General features: G+C 33.9%; 1 protein-coding gene across 23 annotated transcripts in view; it reads left to right on the forward strand.

The window, feature by feature from the left end:
- The window catches only part of SPAG16 (sperm associated antigen 16), a 1126038-nt gene that overhangs the window by 25017 nt on the left and 1078105 nt on the right, over positions 1 to 22916 (forward strand). For 20 of the 23 annotated variants that reach the window (NR_047659.2, XM_011511814.2, NM_024532.5 and 17 more), the window contains 2 exons: positions 579 to 697; positions 7739 to 7876. Coding sequence is in view for 21 of the 23 variants with exons in the window: in XM_011511814.2 (XP_011510116.1) it covers positions 579 to 697; positions 7739 to 7876 (257 nt within the window). In the remaining 2 variants the exon portion in view is untranslated. Of the gene's footprint in view, positions 1 to 578; positions 698 to 7738; positions 8506 to 22916 lie in introns of those variants that run through there. The other 3 variants (NR_047660.2, XM_011511823.4, NM_001025436.3) reach the window with 2 other exon arrangements.

Below are 22916 nucleotides of genomic sequence, written 5' to 3' on the forward strand. Positions count from 1 at the left end.
GGTCCATGCATTCTTTTTTTCTTTTTTTTGATTAACATGCTATGTGCTATTGAAAGGGCAAACCTACCTTCTTACTATCCTTTAGACAATCCAATCACACTCCTGCTGCAGGGCCTTTGCACTTGCTGATGCAGATACAAACCGGAACATAAGACACTCTGCCTCTTTGTCTAGATTTATGCTCAGATAACAGTTTTATCAATGACATCTTCACCACCCTAAATACGTAGCAACCCAGCTTCACATAAATACTTGTCCTACACTTGGTTCTATCTTTAGTCCTCTACTTTCTCCCCACCCCAAGGTACTTAGTACCATCTGTCATAGTATATGTTTTTTATTTAGTTATTCATATTCTGTCTCCATCCACTTGACTAATAGATAGGAGGACAGAGATTTGTTTGCTTTCATCTGCTTTATCCCCAGTAATTAAAATATTAATGGTTCCTGGCATATAACAGTCAACAAACATTGTTGAAAAAAAATGAATGGATGAATGAATGAGTCGAAGGCTTATCTATATCATTAATTAATGCTTTGATGTTTTCAGAATAAATAAATGCACGTTTAAATTTCAGGAACGGAAAACAGTTCTTCCTTCAAAGCATGCAGTACCTGAAGTAATAGAAGACTTTCTCTGCAATTTCTTGATCAAAATGGGAATGACCAGAACTCTTGATTGCTTTCAGTCTGAATGGTAAACAATTATGTAGATAAATAGTTCTCTTAAAATTCTAACATTTAACATATACACTTTTAAGTGTCTTAGGAGACTTTGAAATGACTCAGCCTATGAAAAATGACTAGAAACTTTTCCCATCTCCAGCCCTGAAACCACAACACACACACACACACACACACACACACACACACACACACACACACACACACACAAATCAGAATAGCAGTTACAAAGACATTTTTATTAAACATCTTTCCCAAATATTTAAGTTTAAGTAATTTTTAAAAAATCAAGACACTTGAATATCTCCTGGAGTTATAAAACACAAAGATATTTTATGAAAACATTTCCTAATATTTTTGTATAATTATTGAGAGTATTTCCTGTATTTAGACATTATACTAAACAGTCCTGCTTTACTTCCTTGTTTTATTTATAGTGTAATGGCTTGTCTTTTTCTACTCACATAGCTGATTAATTATATTTCTATGAATATTCTTCAGTTAGAAGTAAGTGGAATTGTATTTTGAATATCACTTAAACAAAATATTTTCTTGTTATAATTGAAAATTTTAATAACTAGTTATGAAAATCAGTAGGTGTACCTTTATTCCTTTGTTATAATAATAATGTCACCAGGCATATTTTCAGTTTCCTGACATTGTTTAAATAAATTTATTAAATGATTAGCTATGAAAATGTATTTGAACTTTAATAGCTATTGCATATTCTAGAAAGGGGGATTAATATGATACCTAAAGATGTTTATAATTAGGACTAATTCCTAATTTTAAATAAATTTGCAATGTATGGATAATTTGCGATTTTTACTCATCCAGCTGTGGTATAAATTTTTATTTTTTGCTTTTTTTGGTTCTCATCTTCTGAGAACATGCACATAAGCGCAGTCAGTTTCATTATTTTAAATTGCACATGTAATGTTAATAAATTCTATGAGGAGAATTATTTTTCATTAATACAGTCTAAGAAAAACAAAGTTCAGTGGAAGAAAAATAATACTGCTTCTCTTAAATTTGGAAATAGTGTGAATTATTTAAAATAATTTTTTATAAAAATATCCCTAAGAAATATAATAATTACAAATGTACTAGAAAATATATTTTTTGTAAAAGTAGGTAGATGATTAATTTACAGTGCTAATAAAGTGAAAGATTAATATGATTCACTTAACTTTCTGTGTTCAACAATGTGTGTTAGGACATGTGATGCTTATATGTTAGGCCAGTCCAAAGTGTAAAATGATTTTCTTAGAATAATCTGGATCCAAGTATACTGTTAACAATTCGGTGACTATTGTCATATTTTCCTTTTAGATTTAGCAATCTGAATTGATGAGATGAAATTTTAGGAAACTAAGATTACTGTTAGTATTAGGATTTAAAGTCCTCCCAAACTAAGCATACTAGTCATAAGATAAAATTGGTATAACGCATTTCTTTATGAGTTTAGAATATCGTGGTTCAAGTAATTTTATCCTTATCCCTAGCTGCCAGTTTGCAATGAGATTACATTGTATTGAATACCTTATTTCATATGAAACATTTTTTATTTTGATTAGAAAACTTTACCTATTCTACATAGTAAAATTATAGGAATATTAAATATATTATTTTTTATCATTTTTACCACAGGAAAAAACACTTAGAATATATCATTTGCTATGAATTCACTTAATCTTTCAAAACATGACCAAACAAGGATTTTCCTTTGTTAGTTTGTTAAAATAAGCAAACAAACAAAACACTGGGCAGTAAAATTTGATATAGGTTCTTTCACTCCTCAAGCAGAAAATGCAATAGATCCTTTAAATCGAGGGTTAGAAAACTAAGATCCTTGGGCCAAATCTGGCCTGCTTCCTGATTTTTAAAATAAAATCTTATTGGAACACAGATATAACCTTTCTTTAGGTATTGTATATGGCTGCTTTCACTCTGTAAAAGCAAAGTTAATTAGTCACAACAGGAGAGATATGGCCTGTAAATATAGTTTTGCCAATTCTAAAATATTTATTCTCTGACCCTTTACAGAAAAGAGTTGCCAGAACATAGTAGGAATTTGTTCTATGAACCACTGAAAAGTTTCCATTGCAGGTTTAGTCGATGGTTCAATTCTATTTATATGCCTATTTTAGAATTCTCAATGGGCAATGGTAATTTCTCAGGGGGGAAAAATTAAAGAAGAAATTAAAATGGAGAAAATATGATAATCTAATTCCAGTACCCTTACCTGAGCATATGTCATCCATCTGTCTTCCTACACTGACTGTTCCCCTATTAACATTGTCAGAACTACTCACCCTAAAGATACATTCTTACTTTTTTTGCCTCTTACTACACTTCTTTTTAAACCATTTTTCCCTTTCCAGCCAATATTTTGAAAACAGAGTTTAAATTTTTTTTCTTTCTTCACCTTTTTACTTCGTATTCAACACTTAGTTCTCTCCAGTTTGGCCTATTCGCACCATTTCACTGAAGGTAGGGTGGCAATGAAAATGCCATCAAAAGTAATAGTACAATTATTTATAACATTTAATTACTAATTTAATTTTTTTTAATAATGGAAGAGATTGTAAATTAAGAGTATATTTCATTAATTTGCATGAAAGAAATATTGCAGCTTTTAGACAATAAAATTTGTCATAACATTTAATCACTTAAATGTGAGCAGTGCAGTTACAACTTTCTGGGGATGGTTAAGTTTTAAAGCCAGAGCCTAGAATTAAAATTACCTTTGATATAGCCCTTATGTTGCCCAAGTATGTACAGGAAATATGTGTGGTGTTGTGTATACATTAATGACTCCCAGTGAACACTACACAAATATTTGTTCCTTTGTCATTTGATCTTACTGCTGTTTCTTCAATTAATGAGAACTTGGCTTCTAGTTATATGTCCCATAAGAATATTTTTTCCCCATTCATTATTAAGTTTAACACAGGAATGTAGTGACTCTTCTACATAACATAAAAGTTAGCAAAAGCTAATTTTTGCTATGTTACATTATGATACATTTGACCACTATAAATACATCTGCACAGATTTATGTACTATGATATTAAGAGAGCAGCCATTTAGGTGAGTATTTAATTTAAATTTTTAAAACAAAATTAATAACATGTTTATTAAATATGAGGGATTTAAAAATATTTAAGAAGGTGAAGCCTTAGGCTTATCACTCAGAAATTTACTTTGTATCATTTTTATTGATATAGTATATTCTCATGCATTATTTCATTTACTTCTCCCAACAACTGTATCTAGCAGGTAGCCACAGCCATATTTCTATTTTACGGGTAAGGAAAGGGGATAGGGAGATTAGGAAATCTCATCAGTGAGTGTCACCAAGTCATAGCCAGTAAGTGGCAGAGTCAACCTAGGACATACTGATCTTAAAGACCAGTCTCCTAACCACAGGGCTATATTGTGCAATTATACAAGAGAATCTTTGAAAAAATTAATAAAGGTGCCTTTTGGCTTGGCTGGATACTAAAAGGACTTCAGAAAATATTAATTTAGAATTCAAATTTGTGCCTATTTTCTATATTGGTTTGAGGAATCTTGGGGCCAGTAATAAACATGTCAGCCATGCTATATTTTTCCTGAGAGGGACTGTCTGGTTCTAAGTGATAGTCGCGATAGTGCTGGGGATTCTGACATCCTCGGTTTGTACAGGAATTAAAATAATTTTGTCTGTGTTGGTAATGTATTTCCCTAAATCTTTATGAAAACATGGAGGAAAAGTTCTCATTATAGGCTTCGTATAAGGAGATTATAATCAAGATGACCTTTCCCCTGTCTTTTACATCCTATGCCTTGGGTGCCACCATGAGGGAAAAATAATCCTTATTCTTCTGACACCATTTCTGTTTTTACTGGAATTCTGTCATAATATTCATCATTTATGGCAGTGGGTCTTAAATGCTTTTGTTATGTGGACAAAATTTTATGAAATTTCTATGCACTTTCTCCCTGAAATTCATATATATTCTCCATTTCTACATAATTCTAAGTAGTTGATGGATCTCCTGGTAAATATTAAGATAATTAATGCAGTTTTATTAGTGATAATTTTATTGGCAATTTCATTAAGAGCAAATTATATTTCAAATTTCTAATAGTTATGGCAATCTTTTTTCCCACCTGAACACTTTTGAGTCTTATTTTAAGAGTGAGTGAAAAAGAAGAAAAAATAAAAAGTCAGGATATTTGTTAAAACAAAACAAAACAACAGATACATACAAACTGAAGCAAACCACAAAAACATTATGTATGAGAATTCAGATTTTATTGAGAAGTATACTTCTGTAGTTTGTGCATTAAAATTCCTAATTACTTGTATTATTATCTAAAAATGAGCCTGAAGTCATCTTTCATATTTTTACATGGATGGCAGAAAATTTACCTGATAAATAATTTTTGAATGTCCTGAGATATATACTATGTAATAAATGTTGTATTTGGATTTGTGCTTCTTTTATCACATACTATTTTATTTATAGTATTTAATTTAGAGGAAAAACTATTAAATCACTTTTTTCCTCATAGAAAATTTCTCTAGTGGTTTTTCCTCATTAAATAAAGCAAGGTGCTGAAAACCAATTTTATGGTCAGAAAAAGCCTATGTCTTCTCTTCTGAGATAAGTATATCACATTCCTAGTACAGATTACTTACTGAATTTATGATTCAATTGATACCTATTTCCTGTTTTATGAATTGTGGCAAATATAATGGAATATTGATTCAATTATCTTAATCTTCAGGATATTCTATGGGGGGGTCCTCTTGCTCTTTTTTTAGAAAAAATCAGATAAAGTATATAACACAAAATATGTGACTTTATAAATATGTAACATTATTATGATTTATAATATGAAACTACTGATAATTTATAATTAGCTCTAATATTTAGCTCATCTAGAGTAAGCTTTGTAGGGATTTATTAATAACCTTATTACTTGAAATATTTTTCTGTGCTCAAATTGTTTTTTTTAACTTTATTGATTGCCATACACAGGGATTAAAATTGTAATTATTTACAATCTGCAATTGATTCTCTGATGTTGCTTCTTATTTGACTGAGAAAATAGAAGTTCCATCACTCCCACCTCCCTCTTTACCACCCTGCTGCCTCTGGCCTCAGGTATTCTTCTCTTCTCCCTCAGACTCTAATGTTATCTGAAGCCAACTCTCATCTTGTCTGCTTGATACCAGCCCCTCTCACAGACTTAAGGATACTGCTTTTGTAATCGTCCCGCTTTTACCTCCATTGTCAGTTTTTTCCCTCTTGGCTGAGTCATTCCCATAAGCATACAGATGCACAATATCTCACATTTTAAAAAAGGAAGAGAAGAACCGCCCTAGATTTCATATCTTCTTCTAAGTTCATCTTGATTCCCTGTGCTTTGCTTTAGAGCATATCTCCTTGAAAAAAGTTTGTTGCCACTTCCTCATTTCCTAGTCTCTCAGACGTACTCTCAGTTTGGCTTTTATCTGCATGACTCTATTGAAAACTTTTTTTTTTTTAATAGTGACTTTCACAGTGCCAACTTCAGTAATTGATTCTCAGTATTCTTTTCAGACTCCTGGCAGCATTCGTCACTGTTGTTCAGTTCTTCCTTTTTAGAACACTTTCTTCATTTGGCCCCTGGGCACAGCTCTCAGATTCTCCCACTATTTCACGGGCCTCTCTTGCTTCGTCTTTTTTGGTAGTGTTTTCTTTTCCCCTCAACCTGGAAGCAGTGTAGTGTTTATGGCTCACTCCTAGGACCTCTTCATTTCTTTCTTTCTTTACTTTCATTTCCCACTGCCTAGCTGGTCTTTTTCAGTCTCATGACTTTAAATAGTATCTATAATGTTGATTACCAAATTTAAATTGCCAACCCTGACTTTTTTCCTGAACTCTGAACATGTATACTCAACGTTTGTCTTCACTTAAATGTCTGCTAGGCATATTACATTTAACACGAATGGAAACAATCCCTTGATTACTCCAGCCACTCTGCTCCTCCTGCATTTGTCCCCACTTAGTAAATAAATGGCTATCTGTTGCTCAGCCAAAAACCCTGGAGTCGCACTTGCCTTCTCTCATTTACCAACACCTGACAGTTGATCCATCAGAGAGTCCTGCTGGCCCCACCTTGACAGCATTTCTAGAAGGTACTTCTCATAATCTCCACTGCTACCAACTTCTTTCAAGCCACCATGCTCTCTCTTTGACTACTGCAATAGCCTGCTAACTGGTCTCTCTGATTCTATGCTTGCTAGACTAATCCCTTTAAAACATAAATCTGGTCAGTGTCACTTATCTCAAAACCTTCCTATGGTTTACTTCTGATTCAGAGTAAAATTGCTTTCCTCACTGTGACTCCCTGCTGTTTTCCTGACTCATCTTTCACCATTCTCTCCTTGGTCACTTAGTTGGCTTCAGTTCCAGACACTCCAGGTACCCTGGCTGTTTGTTCTTTCTTGTAGTTGCCAAACACTTCCTTGGTTCAGGGCCATTGCATTTACTTTTCCATCTGCCCCAGCTGCTTCTCTCCCAGCTATCCACATAACACAGTCCCTCATTTCCTTTAGATCTCTGTTCAGATATCACTTTGTCAGTCATGTTTGTCATTCATGCCCACCCTATGTAAAATAGCACAAGCACTCCCATCAGTGTTTCCACCTCATTCTTCCTATATCTTTCAGACAGCTTATTTAACTTCATAGAACTTATCACCCTCCCCACTAGAATGGAAACTCCATGAAATAGGGACGTAGACATTTTTGTCAATTTTAATATTGTCTAGACCAGTGCCTGGAACATAGGAGATGTTCAGTTATTATATTTTATACACCATGATGGTATTGGTACCTAGAAGTCATATTTTATTCTAAAATATATTATGACTGTTGGACATTTTAACTTATAAATGTAATACTGCAACTAATTACTATAACACTCCCTGAGACTTAACTTTTTGAATTGTACATAAATTAAGCCAATTTGGCAGAAAGAAATGATATAAACCCTTTTGTTTGATTTTATCCTAGGTATGAGTTAATACAGAAAGGAGTGACTGAACTTAGAACTGTTGGGAATGTTCCAGATGTCTACACCCAGATTATGCTTTTGGAAAATGAGAACAAAAATTTAAAGAAAGATTTGAAGCACTACAAACAAGCAGCTGAGTATGTTATTTTTTAAATGACATTTTCTTCTTTTTCTTTTGGACTAAATAAAAGAGTTGAGTGAAGCTGATATATGTAATATACCAGAGCCTTAATTTTTGAAAACTGAATTTTTCTAGTTGTAAAGAATGTGAGAGGCTTCATTAGCAAATTAATTAAACAGATGATCAGAACTATCACAATTATAACTTACCAACAAGAAGGGAATGCAGGTAGTTGTTTAGGAGATGGTACATTTTTTATATAACATTCACTTCCTTGTGTATTTGATAGTCTTTTCATGGTTTATAACATTTTCTCCTGTAAAGATAGGCTAATTTCTGAAATAATAATTAAATTTATAGAAAGCCGAGAGGAAATTGCTAGTTTATTCCTGGTAGAGGAATTTCTGTATTTGAAAATTCTCCAGAAGGAATAATATAAACTGTGGACTTTGGGTGATAATGATATGTAGGTTCGTCAGTTGTTAACAAATGTATCCCTCTGTTGGGGGCTATTGATAATGGGGAAGGCTGTGCATGTGTGGGAGTAGGAGGTGTATGGGACATCTCTGTACCTTCTAATCAATTTTGCTATGAACTTAAAACTGCTCTAAAAATAAAGTTTATTAAAAAAAAGTTAATTCTCTATACTGTTTTCCATACAGGTTGAACTAATTTACATTCCCACCAACCATGTATGAGTGTTCTCTTTTCTGCACGTTCTCACCAACATCTGTTATTTTTGACTTTTTAATAATAGCTGTTCTGACTGGTGTAAGATGATATCTCATTGTGGTTTTGACTTCAGTCCAGCAGTTCCACTACTGGGTATCTACTCAGTTGTATAAAAATTCCACCCACACTCTTACGTTTATTGCAGTGCTATTGATGATAACAAAGTCATGGAATCAACGTAAGTGTCCATCAGCAGATGATGGGATAAAAAATGTGACATTTATATACAATGGAATACTATTCAGCCATAAAAATGAATGAAATCAGGCCTTTTGCAGCAACATGGGTGGAACTCGAGGCCCTCACCCTTAGTGAAATGACTCAGAAACAGAAAGTCAAAAACCACATATTCTCACTTATAAGTAGGAGCTAAGCAATAAGTACATATGGACATATAGAATGGAATAATAGATACTGGAGACTTTAAAAGGTGGGAGAGTTGGAGGAAAGCAAGTATGGGTAAAATGTCCACTACTTGGGTGATTGGTACACCAGAAACCCAGACTTCATCACTATGCAATATATCCATGTAAAACAACTGCACTTTTACCCCTTAATCTATAAAAATAAAAAATTTTAAAAAAGAAAATATAAACTATCCATAATTTCACCACCCAGGGCCAACCACTTACCATTTTGTTGAATAGCAGCCTTGACTTTCCTCAATGCATTTATATTAATGCATATTTATGAGTAACTTTTAAATATAAACTGCACTAATACCATATTTTGTAAGTTCCTTTTTCATTCAAGAGTACATTATTAATATATTTTATGAAAATAAATTTTCTTCTAACTTAAAAGAAAATTACTGAAAGGAAACCTTTGTTTTGTAATTTCCTGGCATAAATTTATTCATAGAAGAGAAGCCAGATCTCTCCACACCTTTCTTTCTTTCTGCAATTAATGGAAGACATGCAATTCCTGGTGAACAATTTTAGATAAACAGCCAGTGTTATTCTGACAAGGAATGTGTGAATGCATTAACTTGGGGTGAATCTGCTTATCTGAGGCAATGTTATATGGAAAAATCAATGCTCAGATGTGAAGCAGAGTTCGTGTTTTATTTATTAATTCATTTTTATTAAATATAGTTAAAGAGGGCCTTTCTCACTTAAAGAATCATATTAAAACCAAAATTAGATTAATGGAACTACCATATAGGAACATAATATTGTTAAGATTTTTGATAAGTTTAAAGAAACATGCCTTTTCATTGAGAAGTAGAGAAAATATTTAAGCTCTTGTAAAAGATGGCAGTAAATAATTTGTATGATATCATTTATTCAAGTATTATCTGTACTTGTAGAAATGTTTTTGCAAGGTATATAAATTTTGTATTGTCTATGGATGTAATGTACCATTTAGAATTTTATATTTTACATTAGAAGTGTATGATGATTCAGAAGAATATATTACTAGAACCAGTGTTCTCTCTATTCTTCATTCCATTTCTCAAAAGTGTTTTGTACTGTTTGCCCTGTTGCTCACTATGATTTTGTATATTCATCTAATGGATTCACTGGGAATTTGGTATAGCATATTTCTCACAGTGCTGCCTGGCACACTGTTTCAGTTCCTGATCTCCTTTGAATTATTGCTTGAGTTTGCTAATTTTCTTTTAAATAGATCAAAGCAGCCTCTTTATGCCATAAGTTTAGCTCCAGTGACATTGAATAGTCATTGTCAAGTACTGGTTGTTTGTTGAATATTATGTTTAATAGCAATAATACGAAATAACATATTACTCATGCAGATTATTAACTTAATGTTAAAAGAAGCCAGGATTAAAATGTATCACTCAAATAAAACATCTTGTCTTACTAACATATCAGATTATAGTTTTAATTTTAACAGTTTATGGCTATTTCTCAAATCTATCTCATTCAATAGAACTTAAAATCTAAAAAATTAGACAAGGAAAATTTGTGTTTGCTTTACTCTACTTGACATGGAAGATTTGAAAGGAAGCTGCTTGATCCTTAGTAGATGCTTAATCTTTATTTTGTTGAGTGGATATTAAGCATGGTGTGCTTTCACAGCACATTTTAGTAAAGTGCTTCCTTATAGCCTGGTTCTACTGATACATTCTTAGAAAATGTAGAATGAAGTTTTGTTTCGTTTTGTCAGTAGTTTTTTATTGATACATCATAATTGTACATACATTTATATATGATAATTGTACATGTGATATTTTGATACATATGTATCAAATACATTTGTACATATGATAATTGTACATGTGTTATTTTGATTACATACATACAATGTGTAGTAATCAAATCAGAGTATTTAGGGTATCCATCACCTCAAACATTTATGATTTTTTGTGTGTGTTGGGAACATTTCAAATCTAACTATTTTGAAATAGATGATAAATTATTGTTAACTGTAGTCACGCTACTGTGATATTGAACACTAGAAGTTAACCCTTCTATCTAACTGTTTGTATCCATTAACCAATTTCTCTTCATCTCCCCTTTCCACCCAACGTTCCCCACATACTTCCCAGCCTCTGGTAATTATCATTCTCCCTGCTACCTCCATGAGATCAACTATTTTAGCTTCCACATGAGTAAGGACACGCAATATTTGTCTTTCTGTACCTGGCTTATTTCTCTTAACATAATCATCTCTAGTTTCATCTATGTTCCTGCAAATTATAGGATTTCATTCTTTTTTTAAAAATGGCTTAATAACATTCCATTGTGTATATGTGCCACATTTGATTTATTTATTCTTCTGTTGATGGGTACTTAGGTTGATTCCACATTCTTGGCTATTGTGAATAGTGCTGCAATTAAGTTTTGAAAAAAGTTTTCCGAACTACATCTGTCATGCTACCAGCCTGCCCCAAATGGTAGTGTTTAATCATCTAGGTTTTTCAATTTGACTTCTGAGGATAATTTTCAAATAGCAATTAGTAATAAACATGAGATTCCCTATATTGAGCTTGAGCTAATGTTTGTATTTTTAGGATTAGGATATTTCTTAAGGCAAAATAAAACAGGCAAAATAGAATAGGATATTTCTTAAGGCAAAATAAAATAGATATCAAATACTTTTCTAATAATAATTTTTAATACACAAAAAAGTCAGGTTGCAGATATGTATTATTCTTGATTATACTAATAGCATTTAGTGATGTATCTAGGAAAATCAAATAAATAATACAGCTATAAAATTAATATTTATCTGGGGGAAAGTTGCCATGGAAAGAGTATTGATCTTAAAGTTCAAATACCTGGCTTCTAATATTCTGTTACTTATTAACTCAGTTTATTGAATTACTCCCAGTTTTCTTATTAACCTGGGAATTATTTTGCATAGTGTTATTAATTTCTATGGAATAATGTGATAATTAAATGAGTCAAGCTATGTTAAAGAGCTTTGTAAATCACAGAGTGCTTTGAAATGTCAGCTATTATCAATAACTCTAAATGCTGTCATCTCTAAGTTTTTATTAATCACATCATTAATATTTTTTAAATTCAGCAACGATGAAGTATGAAGAAGGAAATGAAAGGAGAAAATATTTCCCACTAAAATATCATTTGAATTGCCATAATTAAAGCAGGGAATTGTCATTTTCTCTGTTGTCAACAGTGTCAATTTTAGACTATAGGTTTTCTCTGTACCTGCTATAAATATAGATTATCTGTCTTCCAAAATATAAAGTTGGGAAAATAACTGTTGAGAACATTTCTGTATAGATGTTTTTATGGAGAAAATGATCTTATTAAAAATTTATAGTTACATTGGAAGTAAAAGTATTTCCCATACTGGATATTGAAGAACAATATTTTTCTCAGAAAAGGAGAGCATACGTTTTCTATTGAAATGTAGACCAATTGTTATTTTAAATGCAAAAGTCTAAAGTTGCACTTAAAGCAGGTGACCACAGTTGCAGAGATTTGGTGGTTGACACCAACATGGCACATGTATACATATGTAACTAACTTGCACTTTGTGCACATGTACCCTAAAACTTAAAGTATAATAAAAATAAATAAATAAATAAATAAAAAAAAGTAAAAAAAAAAGATTATAAAACACCACTTAGAATTGTATCTTTCACAGTTTAGACACTATATTCATTCATAAACCTTGTTTTATTTGGTAGTTGTCATGCCAAAAGATTTACTTTGGTCTGAAGTTTATAAATAACTATTATGAGTTTTATTAATTAAAACCTTTTTGCTTGATCTTCTTGCCTGTTTTCACTAGCATTTTATGTCTTCTTTCCATAGTGTAGACAATGCAAAAAAAAAAAAAAAAAAAAAACAAAAAACTCGTTTGGGTGATTGATTCCTGAAAGCACCAGTGTACTTGAACTTTAACATCTTGCAGTCTGACTTTCATTTCACTTTTTCTCAGTTGGCCTTGGACACAAGAGAACTGTTTGACACCCAAATTTAGCAGTCTTTTTTTTCCATTTGTATATCCTGGTTTTTATTCCTATCTTCCCTTAGCATCTGTGACATCATACTGTTCTGCCCCTCCTTCTACCTTAGTGACAGGCTTCTTTTCCTTTTCTTAACTCCAAACAGTTGATACTCTTTAAGTACATTAGGATAACTATTGACTACATGTGAATATTGACAAATACAACATATATTAGGTAGTGGTAAGTGCTATGAAGAAAAATAACATGGGTAAAGGAGACAGACGGGGTGCTGTTTTATGTAGGATTGGTAAGGGGTGGGGCAGGGAGCAGGGGAGCACATCAGAAACCTGAAGAGACTGAGGGAAAAAGCCAAGTATAAACTTGGGAAAATGGAATTCCAGGCAGAGGAAAAAGGAAGTATAAAGAGGATGTGGTGAAGACAGGTTGGCTTGTTAGAGGATTAGCAAGGAGGCTATAGTGGCTCTAACCAGTGGGTTAGTGGTAGAGGCCTTTGCTAGAAACTTGCTTTTTCCCCCAGGTGGCATGTGAAGCTAATAGTTTGAGCAGAAGCATGTGAACAGGCTTCTGCATGGAAAAATGCTCAATGTTACTAATTGTCAAGGAAATCCAAATCAAAAGTAAACGAGAAATCACCTCATACTTTTCAGGATGGCTATTATTAGAAAAACACAAACAATATGTCCGGCGCGGTGGCTTACGCCTGTAATCCCAGCACTGTGGGAGGCCGAGGCGGGCAGATCACAAGGTCAGGAGATCAAGACCATCCTGGCTAACATGGTGAAACCCCGTCTCTTCTAAAAAATACAAAAAATTAGCCGGGCATGGTGGTGGGTGTCTGTAGTCCCAGCTACTCGGGAGGCTGAGGCAGGAGAATGGTGTGAACCCAGGAGGCGGAGCTTGCAGTGAGCCGAGATCATGCCACTGCACTCCAGCCTAGGCGACAGAGCAAGACTCCGTCTCAAAAAAAAAATAGAAAAATACAAACAATAACAAGTGTTGATGTAAATGTGGAAGAATTGGAACCCTTGCACATTACTGGTGGGAATGCAAGTGGTGCAGCCACCACTGAAAACCGAATAAAGGTTCCTCAAAAAATTAAAATTCAAACTACCATATGATCAAGAAATCCCACTCCTGGGTATTTATTTGAAGTGAATTGAATTGAAACCAGGATCTGAGGCAGATATTAGCACTCCTGTGTTCATTACAGCATTATTCACAACAGCCAAATTATAGAAACAACCTAAATGTTCATTGACAGATGAATGGGTAAAAAAAATATGGTACATTCATGCAATGCAATACTACTCATCCTTTAAAAAGAGGGAAATTCTGTAATATGTGAGGACATGCATGAACCTTGAGGACACTATGGTAAGTGAAATAAGACAGTCACAGAGGGATGATTACTGCATGATTCCCCATATATGAGGTATTTAATATGGTAAAATTCATAGAATCAGAGTAGAATGGTGGTTTCCAGGGGATGACAGGAGAGGAAGATAGGGCATTACAAATCAAAGGGCATAAAGTTTTAGGTAAACAAAAATCAGTGCTACAGATTTGTTATATATCATTGTACTACAACCAACAATAGTGTATTGTACACTTAAAAATTCGTTAAGAGGGTAGATCTCATGTTACCTTCTTACCATATACTCAAAGAAAGTAAACAGTATAGACTAATGAACCTCATAGACCTATAGGATAATCAACACTCTACTTTTGTCATTCTTATTTCACTTCTACTCTTACCCATTCCCTACTGTACCTCAAGTTATTATAATATATAATTTTTACAGTTATTTTTTGTTATGCTTTATATACATTGAAGTATATGTCTTAGCTATATAATTTTGGCAAACGGATAAACTCTTAAACATCCACATTCATCTCAAGGTAGAACATTTTTATCTATCCAGAAGTTTTCCTCATGTCCCTTCTCAGTCATTCTCTGTCCCAGCAATCACTTTTAAGAATTTTTTCACTTTAGATTAGTTTTGTTTGAGAATTTCATAAATGGAATCACAGTATATTATTGTGTTTGGCATCTTATACTCAGCATAAAGTCTGTACAATGTATTATTTTTGCCTGTATCAGTAATTTGTTCCTCTTTATTGCTAAGTAGTATTCTGTTGTATAATGTATACTACAACTTTTTTATCCTTTTTCCATTTAGTTATTTCCAACAGTTGGTTATTAAAGATAAAACTGCTGTGAACATTGAGGTACAAATATTTGGTGGGAATATGTTTTCATTTCTTATAAAAACTTAGTGGAATTTCTGGATCAAGGGGATAGATGGATGTTTAACTCTGTATGAACTGCTCGTACATATTCCCACATTCAAGTTGGTCCATTTTGCTTTCTCAGTAGGAATACATGCGAATTCCAGTTGCTCCAAACAGCTACTAACATTGAGTGTTGTTAGTCTTTTCAGTTGTAGCCATTTTAACTGTTGTGTTGTGGCATCTTGTATTTTTGATATGCATTTTCTGTATACAAATGATATTAAACATAATTTTTTTTGCTTTTTGACCATTCTAAAAAGCATTCTACAAAGCATTTATCCTGCTTTCTGTATGTTTATGTTTTTTGCTTGCTGATCTTATAATTGAATTGTAAGAGTTGTTTGTATATTCTGGATATAAGTGCTTTGTTAGAATATTGTGAATATTTTCTCCCAGTCTGTGGCTTGTGTCTTTAATTTATGAATGGTGTCTTTGTTGAGCAGACACTATAAATTTTAATGAAGCATATCTTATCTTTTTTATGGTATTTATTTTGACATTTTGTTGAATATATCATTTTCTACTATAGGTCACAGAGATATTCTGTGTTTTCTTCTAAAACGCTTAAAATATAGATTTTTATTTCAACATAGGATCTGTTCTTAAGTTTTGTGCATTGTGTGAGGTAGAAGCTAGAAGTTAATTTTCTTTACTATAGGAATACATAATTGTTCTGGCACCATTTCTTGAGAAAATTATCTTTAAGTCTCATTTAATTTCTTTGGCACTTTTATTGAAAATCAGTTGACCCTTTAGAATAAGTTTGCCAATTTCCACAGACACGGGTGATGTAGGTGTGACATAGGATGGGGATTAAGTTGAAAATATAACTTGATTTTGGAAAAATATGTGTGTGTGTGTGTGTGTGTGTGCATATCTATTTTTTGAGGGGGGAAGGATTGATACTGTCACAAGTTTTAGTCCTATTTACATAGCATATCTCTCCATTTAAGTTATATTTAATTTAATACTTTATATTTATGAAGGAGCTTGAAATTTATGCCCTTCATATTGAATTATCTAATGTTTATATTTTGTTGTTGCATTTTCAGTTCCATATAATAGAGACTATGTTTTGTGTTCACTATACCCACGGGGCCTATCTCTGTGCCTGGTACATAGAAGGAGCTTAAGTGATTGTGTGCTATTAAACTTTTGGCTCTTTAGTTAAGCTTTTAATAATTTTTAGAGCAGTTAATTGGTGATTTTTGCCCCTTTCATGGCATTTATTTGGGGTAGGCATTATTTTCTTGGGAATGTAACCAGTCTTGCCGTATTTTGAGTATTGTCTTCCTTTGCCAGGCTTTTACAGTAAGGAAATATAATGCAGACCAGAAAGGCTTTGTTGAGAGCCCTGAAGAAAATAATACTGATTGGGATTACTAACAGGAAGATGAAAAACTGCCATTTAAAAAATAATGACATACTTTATTTTACAATCTGCCAGAGAGTATAGGCATAAAGAAAACCATAATTACATGGCAATTAATATTGAGGAAAAATTAAGGTGGTTTACTAAGGGGCCTTTATTTCACTTTCAAAATTTACTTCTATAAAAGGTCAAAGAGTGCCCAGCTTTTGTGAAGACCCATTTAGTTTTATGACTTTCAGAAACAAACACTGTGAAAATAAAGATAATAATGAGGCTTATAAAATTTCATGCTTTAGTGTTTAGGTAATTGCTTGTTAAATTAAGAAGGTATTTTTTTCTGGACGTGAATATACCCCTTTCTTTTTTGGTTAGGATATAATGAAAGTTTTTCTCTAATCTGGTTGAATTCCATTTTGGCCATCCAACAGTTATTCCAATATAAAATTTAGTGGGTTAAATAAATTCATTTATAACCAATTGAAGATAATGGAATATTTGCTAATTATGTAACTACTATTATCAGAAATTACTTTGATTCAATTTTTTCATGTGAGAAAAATATATGACAAAGATAGCCTACTTCGATGCAGGTAAACAAGAAAATGTTTATATGCTTTACTTTGCCAAATTATAACAAGATAATCCAATAAACTCATTATTAAATGATCATTCAAAAATACTTAAAACTGTTCAGTTAATAAAATTATTTTACCATGGATATTCACTTCAAAATATTTTTGAGCATACTATTAAATAATATTCATATCATATTGAAAATGGAGTTTTGGGGCAATAATTTTATAGTTCGATAAGAATATCTGTACCTTAATATTGCATAATTGAATTGTAGACTTTGATATGCTGGTTTCCTGAAATGGAGAAGTTAAATAATCATTGTACCATTTTATTAAGACAAAGCATGTGCAAATTGTTTTCTTTATGATGTACACATTTAAATAGAATGTTCCACTGAGTAACTCTTAACAGCGTTGTACTTGAAACAATGTCTGTTTGCTGTGTTTTTTTTTTTTTAACACAAAGATGCTCTACTAATGTGATGAGGAAATATTATATAGTTTAAAATATTAGCTGCTTATATGAATATTTTAAACTTTATTCTTTAGTACAACTTTTATTTTCCATTTATTAAGCAGATGGGCAGCAGGAAGGTCATAATAGGAGAAGCACCACCATGAAATGAATTTAAATTGTTCTACTGAATAGACTTCATTGTGCAAACAGAAAGAAAGTCCCTGAAAACCAATTTAATGGTCAGAAAAACTTTAAGGTCTAATACTTCAGTCAATTCCTATGCTTTGTTTCCTGGGACGAGCACAAATAGGCTTCTAATGTATATTTAAAAAGTGAATTGATGCAATGCTGCACATTTATGGTTCTGCTTAAGAAATTTTGCAGCGTTATTTCTTAAAGTATTTTTAACATGTTGTGGGTTTACATTTCACATAAGATAAAAATAAGCTCATTTATGTAATTCAAGTGACTGAAATTAAGACAATTTAGTATACTCAAAATAGACGTTCACAAAATTTTAAATTCATTTTTTAAAAGATACACAGTGTTACTAATATTCACATATCCTAATATTTTTGGTTGATTAGAAGATATTTACTTACTGGCACACTCCTTATTGTAGGAAGATAAATTTAGCGCTTAGAAGAATTGTGTGTGTCTGTTTTACTATACTGAATAGCAGTATTATGAAATGATGATGATGATTATGAGTACAGAAACATTTATTGAGTAATTTAGTATTTGCTATGTGCAAGACTATGTAAGCCACTTTACTAAAATATTTAATTGAATACGCTTTGAAGCTCATTATATGTCCATTTTGGAGGTGCTAAATTTGATATTTACAGAGGTTATATAGCTTGACAAGGTCACATTGCAATGAAGAATTTCCTATATTGAATATGATATTATTATCATATTAGCATTACTCCAATGAAGTAACCATATCTGTTAGCTGATTATAAAGACATAATACTGGATTTTTATCTATGGTTCTAAAACAAATATAGTATTATTTTTTAGATAAACTCATTCAACTTGACATGCTTTAGAGCTAACTTGTTTTGATAGCCCGCTCAGGATATTCTGTACAACTTTTTTTTAAAAATACAGGGTTAAAATGAATGTTCTAAGATCTTATTCATTATTCTTTTTGCAAATTATTTGAAGAGATTCATTGATCCTTTTTCAAAACAATTTATCTCTTCTACACACAGCCTTTCTCTATACTTCTAATTGAAAATGGAATCATTTTCTAAATGAGAATTCAAGTGAGGTTCTTGTGCTTTCACAATAAAGTATCAACTCAATCATTTACTTATTTTCCATTCACTTTACTTAAATTCTCTCCTCCTCTTCACTTAGTACTCAGTAAGGATGATGCCAAACAGTCTGCCATCTCAGGGAGATGGCAGAGAGTTTCTCTCTTTTTAGTCCATATTCACTAGGGAGGTCTTGTGTACCTGAGCCTTAGGAATGAGGACTTTTCCTGTCTCTTTGTCCATCCTCTGTGTTATGGCCAAACTCTGCCTTCTATCTGTAGTTGGTCTTTGTAGGAGTTTCATACTGCTACCTCAGGAGTAGGATACTTCTACTTGCTGTGATGGAATATTAAGGCCTAAGATGGTTACCTGTTGATTGGTTTGGCTGTGTCCCCACCCAAATCTCATCTTGAATTCCCACGTGTTGAGGGAGGGACCTGGTGGGAGGTAATTGAATCATGGGGGCAGGTCTTTCCAATGCTGTTCTCCTGATAGGGAATAATAAGTCTCACGAGATCTGATGGTTTTAGAAAGGGGAGTTTCCCTGCACAAGCTCTCCTTTTTTTTGCCTGCCACCATCCATGTAAGATGTGGCTTGCTCTTTTTGTCTTGCACCATGATAGTGAGGCCTCCCCAGCCAAGTGGAACTGTAAGTCCATTAAACCTCTTTTTCTTCCCAGTCTCAGGTATGTCTTTATCAGCAGTGTGAAAATGGATTAATACAGTAAATTGGTACCAGTATAGTGGGCATTGCTGAAAAGATACCAGAAAATGTGAAAGTGACTTTAGAACTGGGTAACAGGCAGAGGTTGGAACAGTTTGGAGGGCTCAGAAGCAGACAGGAAAATTTGGGAAAGTTTGGACCTCCCTAGAGACTTGTTGAATGGCGTTGCCCAAAGTGCTGATAATGATATGGACAAAGAAATCCAGGCTGAGATGATCTCAGATGGAGATGAGGAACTTGTTGGGAACTGGAGCAAAGGTGACTCTTGTTATGTTTTAGCAAAGAGACTGGTGATATTTTGCCCCTGTCCTAGAGATTTGTGGAACTTTGCACTTGAGAGAGATGATTTAGGTTATTATCTGGTGGAAGAAATTGCTAAGCATCAAAGCGTTCAAGAGGTGACTTGGGTGCTGTTAAAGGCATTCAGTTTCAAAAGGGAAACAGAGCATAAAAGTTTGGAAAATTTGCAGCTTGATGATGTGGTAGAGAAGGAAATCCCATTTTCTGGGGAGAAATTCAAGCCAGCTGCAGAAATTTGCATAAGTAATGAGGAGCTGAATGTTAATCACCAAGACAATGGGGAAAATGTCTCCAGGGCATGTCAGAGACCTTTGCGACAACCCCTGCCATCACAAGCCCAGAGGCTTAGGAGGAAAAAATAGTTCTATGGGCTGGGCCTAGGGTCCCTCTGCTGTGTGCATTCTAGGGACTTGGTGCCTTGCATCTCAGCTACTCCAGCCATGACTAAAAGGGGCCAAGGTACAGCTCAGGCTGTTGCTTCAGAGGATCGAAACCCAAAGCCTTGGCAGCTTCCATGTGATGTTGAGCCTGCAGGTGCATGGAAGTCAAGAATTGAGGTGTGTGGCCTCTGCCTAGATTTTAAAAGATGTATGGAAACGCCTGGATGCCCAGGCAGAAGTTTGCGGCAGGGGTGGGGCTCTCATGGAGAACCTCTGCTAAGGCAGTGCGGAAGGGAAATATGGGGTGGGAGCCCCCACACAGAGTCCCTACTGGAGCATTGCCTAGTGGAGCTGTGAGAAGAGGGCCACTATCCGTTATACCCCAGAATGATGGATCCACCGACAGCTTGCACTGTGCACCTGGAAAAGCCACAGACACTAAACACCAGCCCATGAAAGCACCCAGGAGGGAGGGTGTACCTTGTAAAGCCACAGGGGTGGAGCTTCCCAAGACCACAGGAGCCTACCTCTTGTATCAGCGTGACCTGGATGTGAGACATGGAGTCAAAGGAGATCATTTTGGAGCTTTAAGATTTGACTACCCTGCTGGATTTTGCACTTGCATGGGGCTTGTAGTCCCTTTGTTTGGGCCAATTTCTCCCATTTGGAATGGCTGTATTTACCCAATGCCTGTAGCCCCGTTGTATCTAGGAAGTAACTAACTTGCTTTTGATTTTACAGGCTCATAGGTGGAAGGGACTTGCTTTGTCTCAGATAAGACTTTGGACTGTGGACTTTTGAGTTAATGCTGAAAAGAGTTAAGATTTTGGGGGACTGTTGGGAAGGCATTATTGTGTTTTGCAATGTAAAACATGAGATTTGAGAGGGGCCAGGTGTGCAATATGGTTGGCCCACCCAAATCTCATCTTGAATTCCCATGTGTTGTGGGAGGGACCCAGTGGGAGGTAATTGAATCATGGGGGCAGGTCTTTCTCGTGCTGTTCTTGTGACAGCAAATAATCCTCATGAGATTTGATGGTTTTAAAAAGGGGAGTTTACCTGCACAAGCTCACTTTTTTTTGCCTGCTGCCATCCATGTAAGATGTGTTTGCTCCTCCTTGCCTTCCTCCATGATTGTGAGGCCTCCCCTGCCATGTGGAACTGTTAAGTCCATTAAACCTCTTTTTCTTCCCAGTCTCAAGTATGTCTATGCACAGTGTGAAAATGGACTAATACACCTCTCCATCTATCAGGGGTAGAGAGTTTTTCTTTTACTTTTCCTTCACCTGCAAAGTATCTTTGCCTGTGCCTGTGTGTTGCCCTTTCCCCAGGGGCCTCAGAAGTAGGCACTGGTTTGTGCCTTTTCTGCAGCATGCCTGGGTCCTGAGGCCCCCATTCCAGGCCTGAGCTCCCACATAACATTTCTAGACACTTTCTGGGCTAAAAGGGACCCCACTGCCTTGAAGGGAAGAACCTGATCTTGGCAGGATTTACCGTCATAAGAATGTCATTATTTAATGATAGAGCAGTCAGTTCAGCAAGAGGATATAACAATTGTAAATATATATGCACCCAACACTGGAGCACCCAGATATATAAAGCAAATATTATTAGAGCTAAAGAGAGGGAGAGATCGCAATACAGTAATAGCTGGAGTCTTCAACATCCCATTTTCAGTATTGGACAGGTATTCCAGACAGAAAATCAACAAACATCAGACTTAATCTGCACCATAGAACAAATGGACTTGATAGATATTTCCATTCTCAATGATAGACTATATGTTAGGTTACAGAACAAGTTTTAAAACATTCAAAAATTGAAATAATATCAAACATCTTCTCTGACCACGATGGAATAAAACTATAAATCAACAAGAAGAGGAATTTTGGAAACCATATGAACATGTAGAAATTTAACAGTATGCTCCTGAATGACCAGTGGATCAGTGAAGGAATTAAGAAGAAAACTGAAAAATTTCTTGGAACAAATGATAGTGGAAACACAACATACCATAATCTATGGGATACAGTGAAAGCAGTACTAAGAGGGGAATTTATAGGCACTTACATAAGTGCCTTTTTCTTCAAAAAAGAAGAAAAACTTCAAATAAATTACCTAATGATTCATCTTAAAAAGCTAGCAAAGCAAGAGCAAACCTAACCCAAGATTAGTATAAAAAATAAATAAAAAGGAACAGAATAGAAATAAATGAATTTGAAATGAAGAAAGCAATACAAAAGTCAAGGAAACAAAAAATGTTATTCTTTTGAAAAGATAAACAAAATCAACAAGTCCTTAGGCAGATTAAAGCACAAAAAAGGAAAAGACCCAAATAAGTAAAATCAGATGGAAAAGGAAACATTACAACTGGGATTGCAGAATTTCAAAGGATCATCAGTAGCTACTATGACCAACTACATGCCAATAAATTGGAAAATCTAGGGGAAATGGATAAATTCCTAGTTAGATACAAGCTACCAGAATTAAACCATGAAGAAATACAAAATATGAATAGACCAATAACAATAAACAAGATTGAAGCTGTAATATG

Source organism: Homo sapiens, chromosome 2, assembly GCF_000001405.40.
Source record: "Homo sapiens chromosome 2, GRCh38.p14 Primary Assembly".
Classification (NCBI taxonomy): Eukaryota; Metazoa; Chordata; class Mammalia; order Primates; family Hominidae; genus Homo; species Homo sapiens.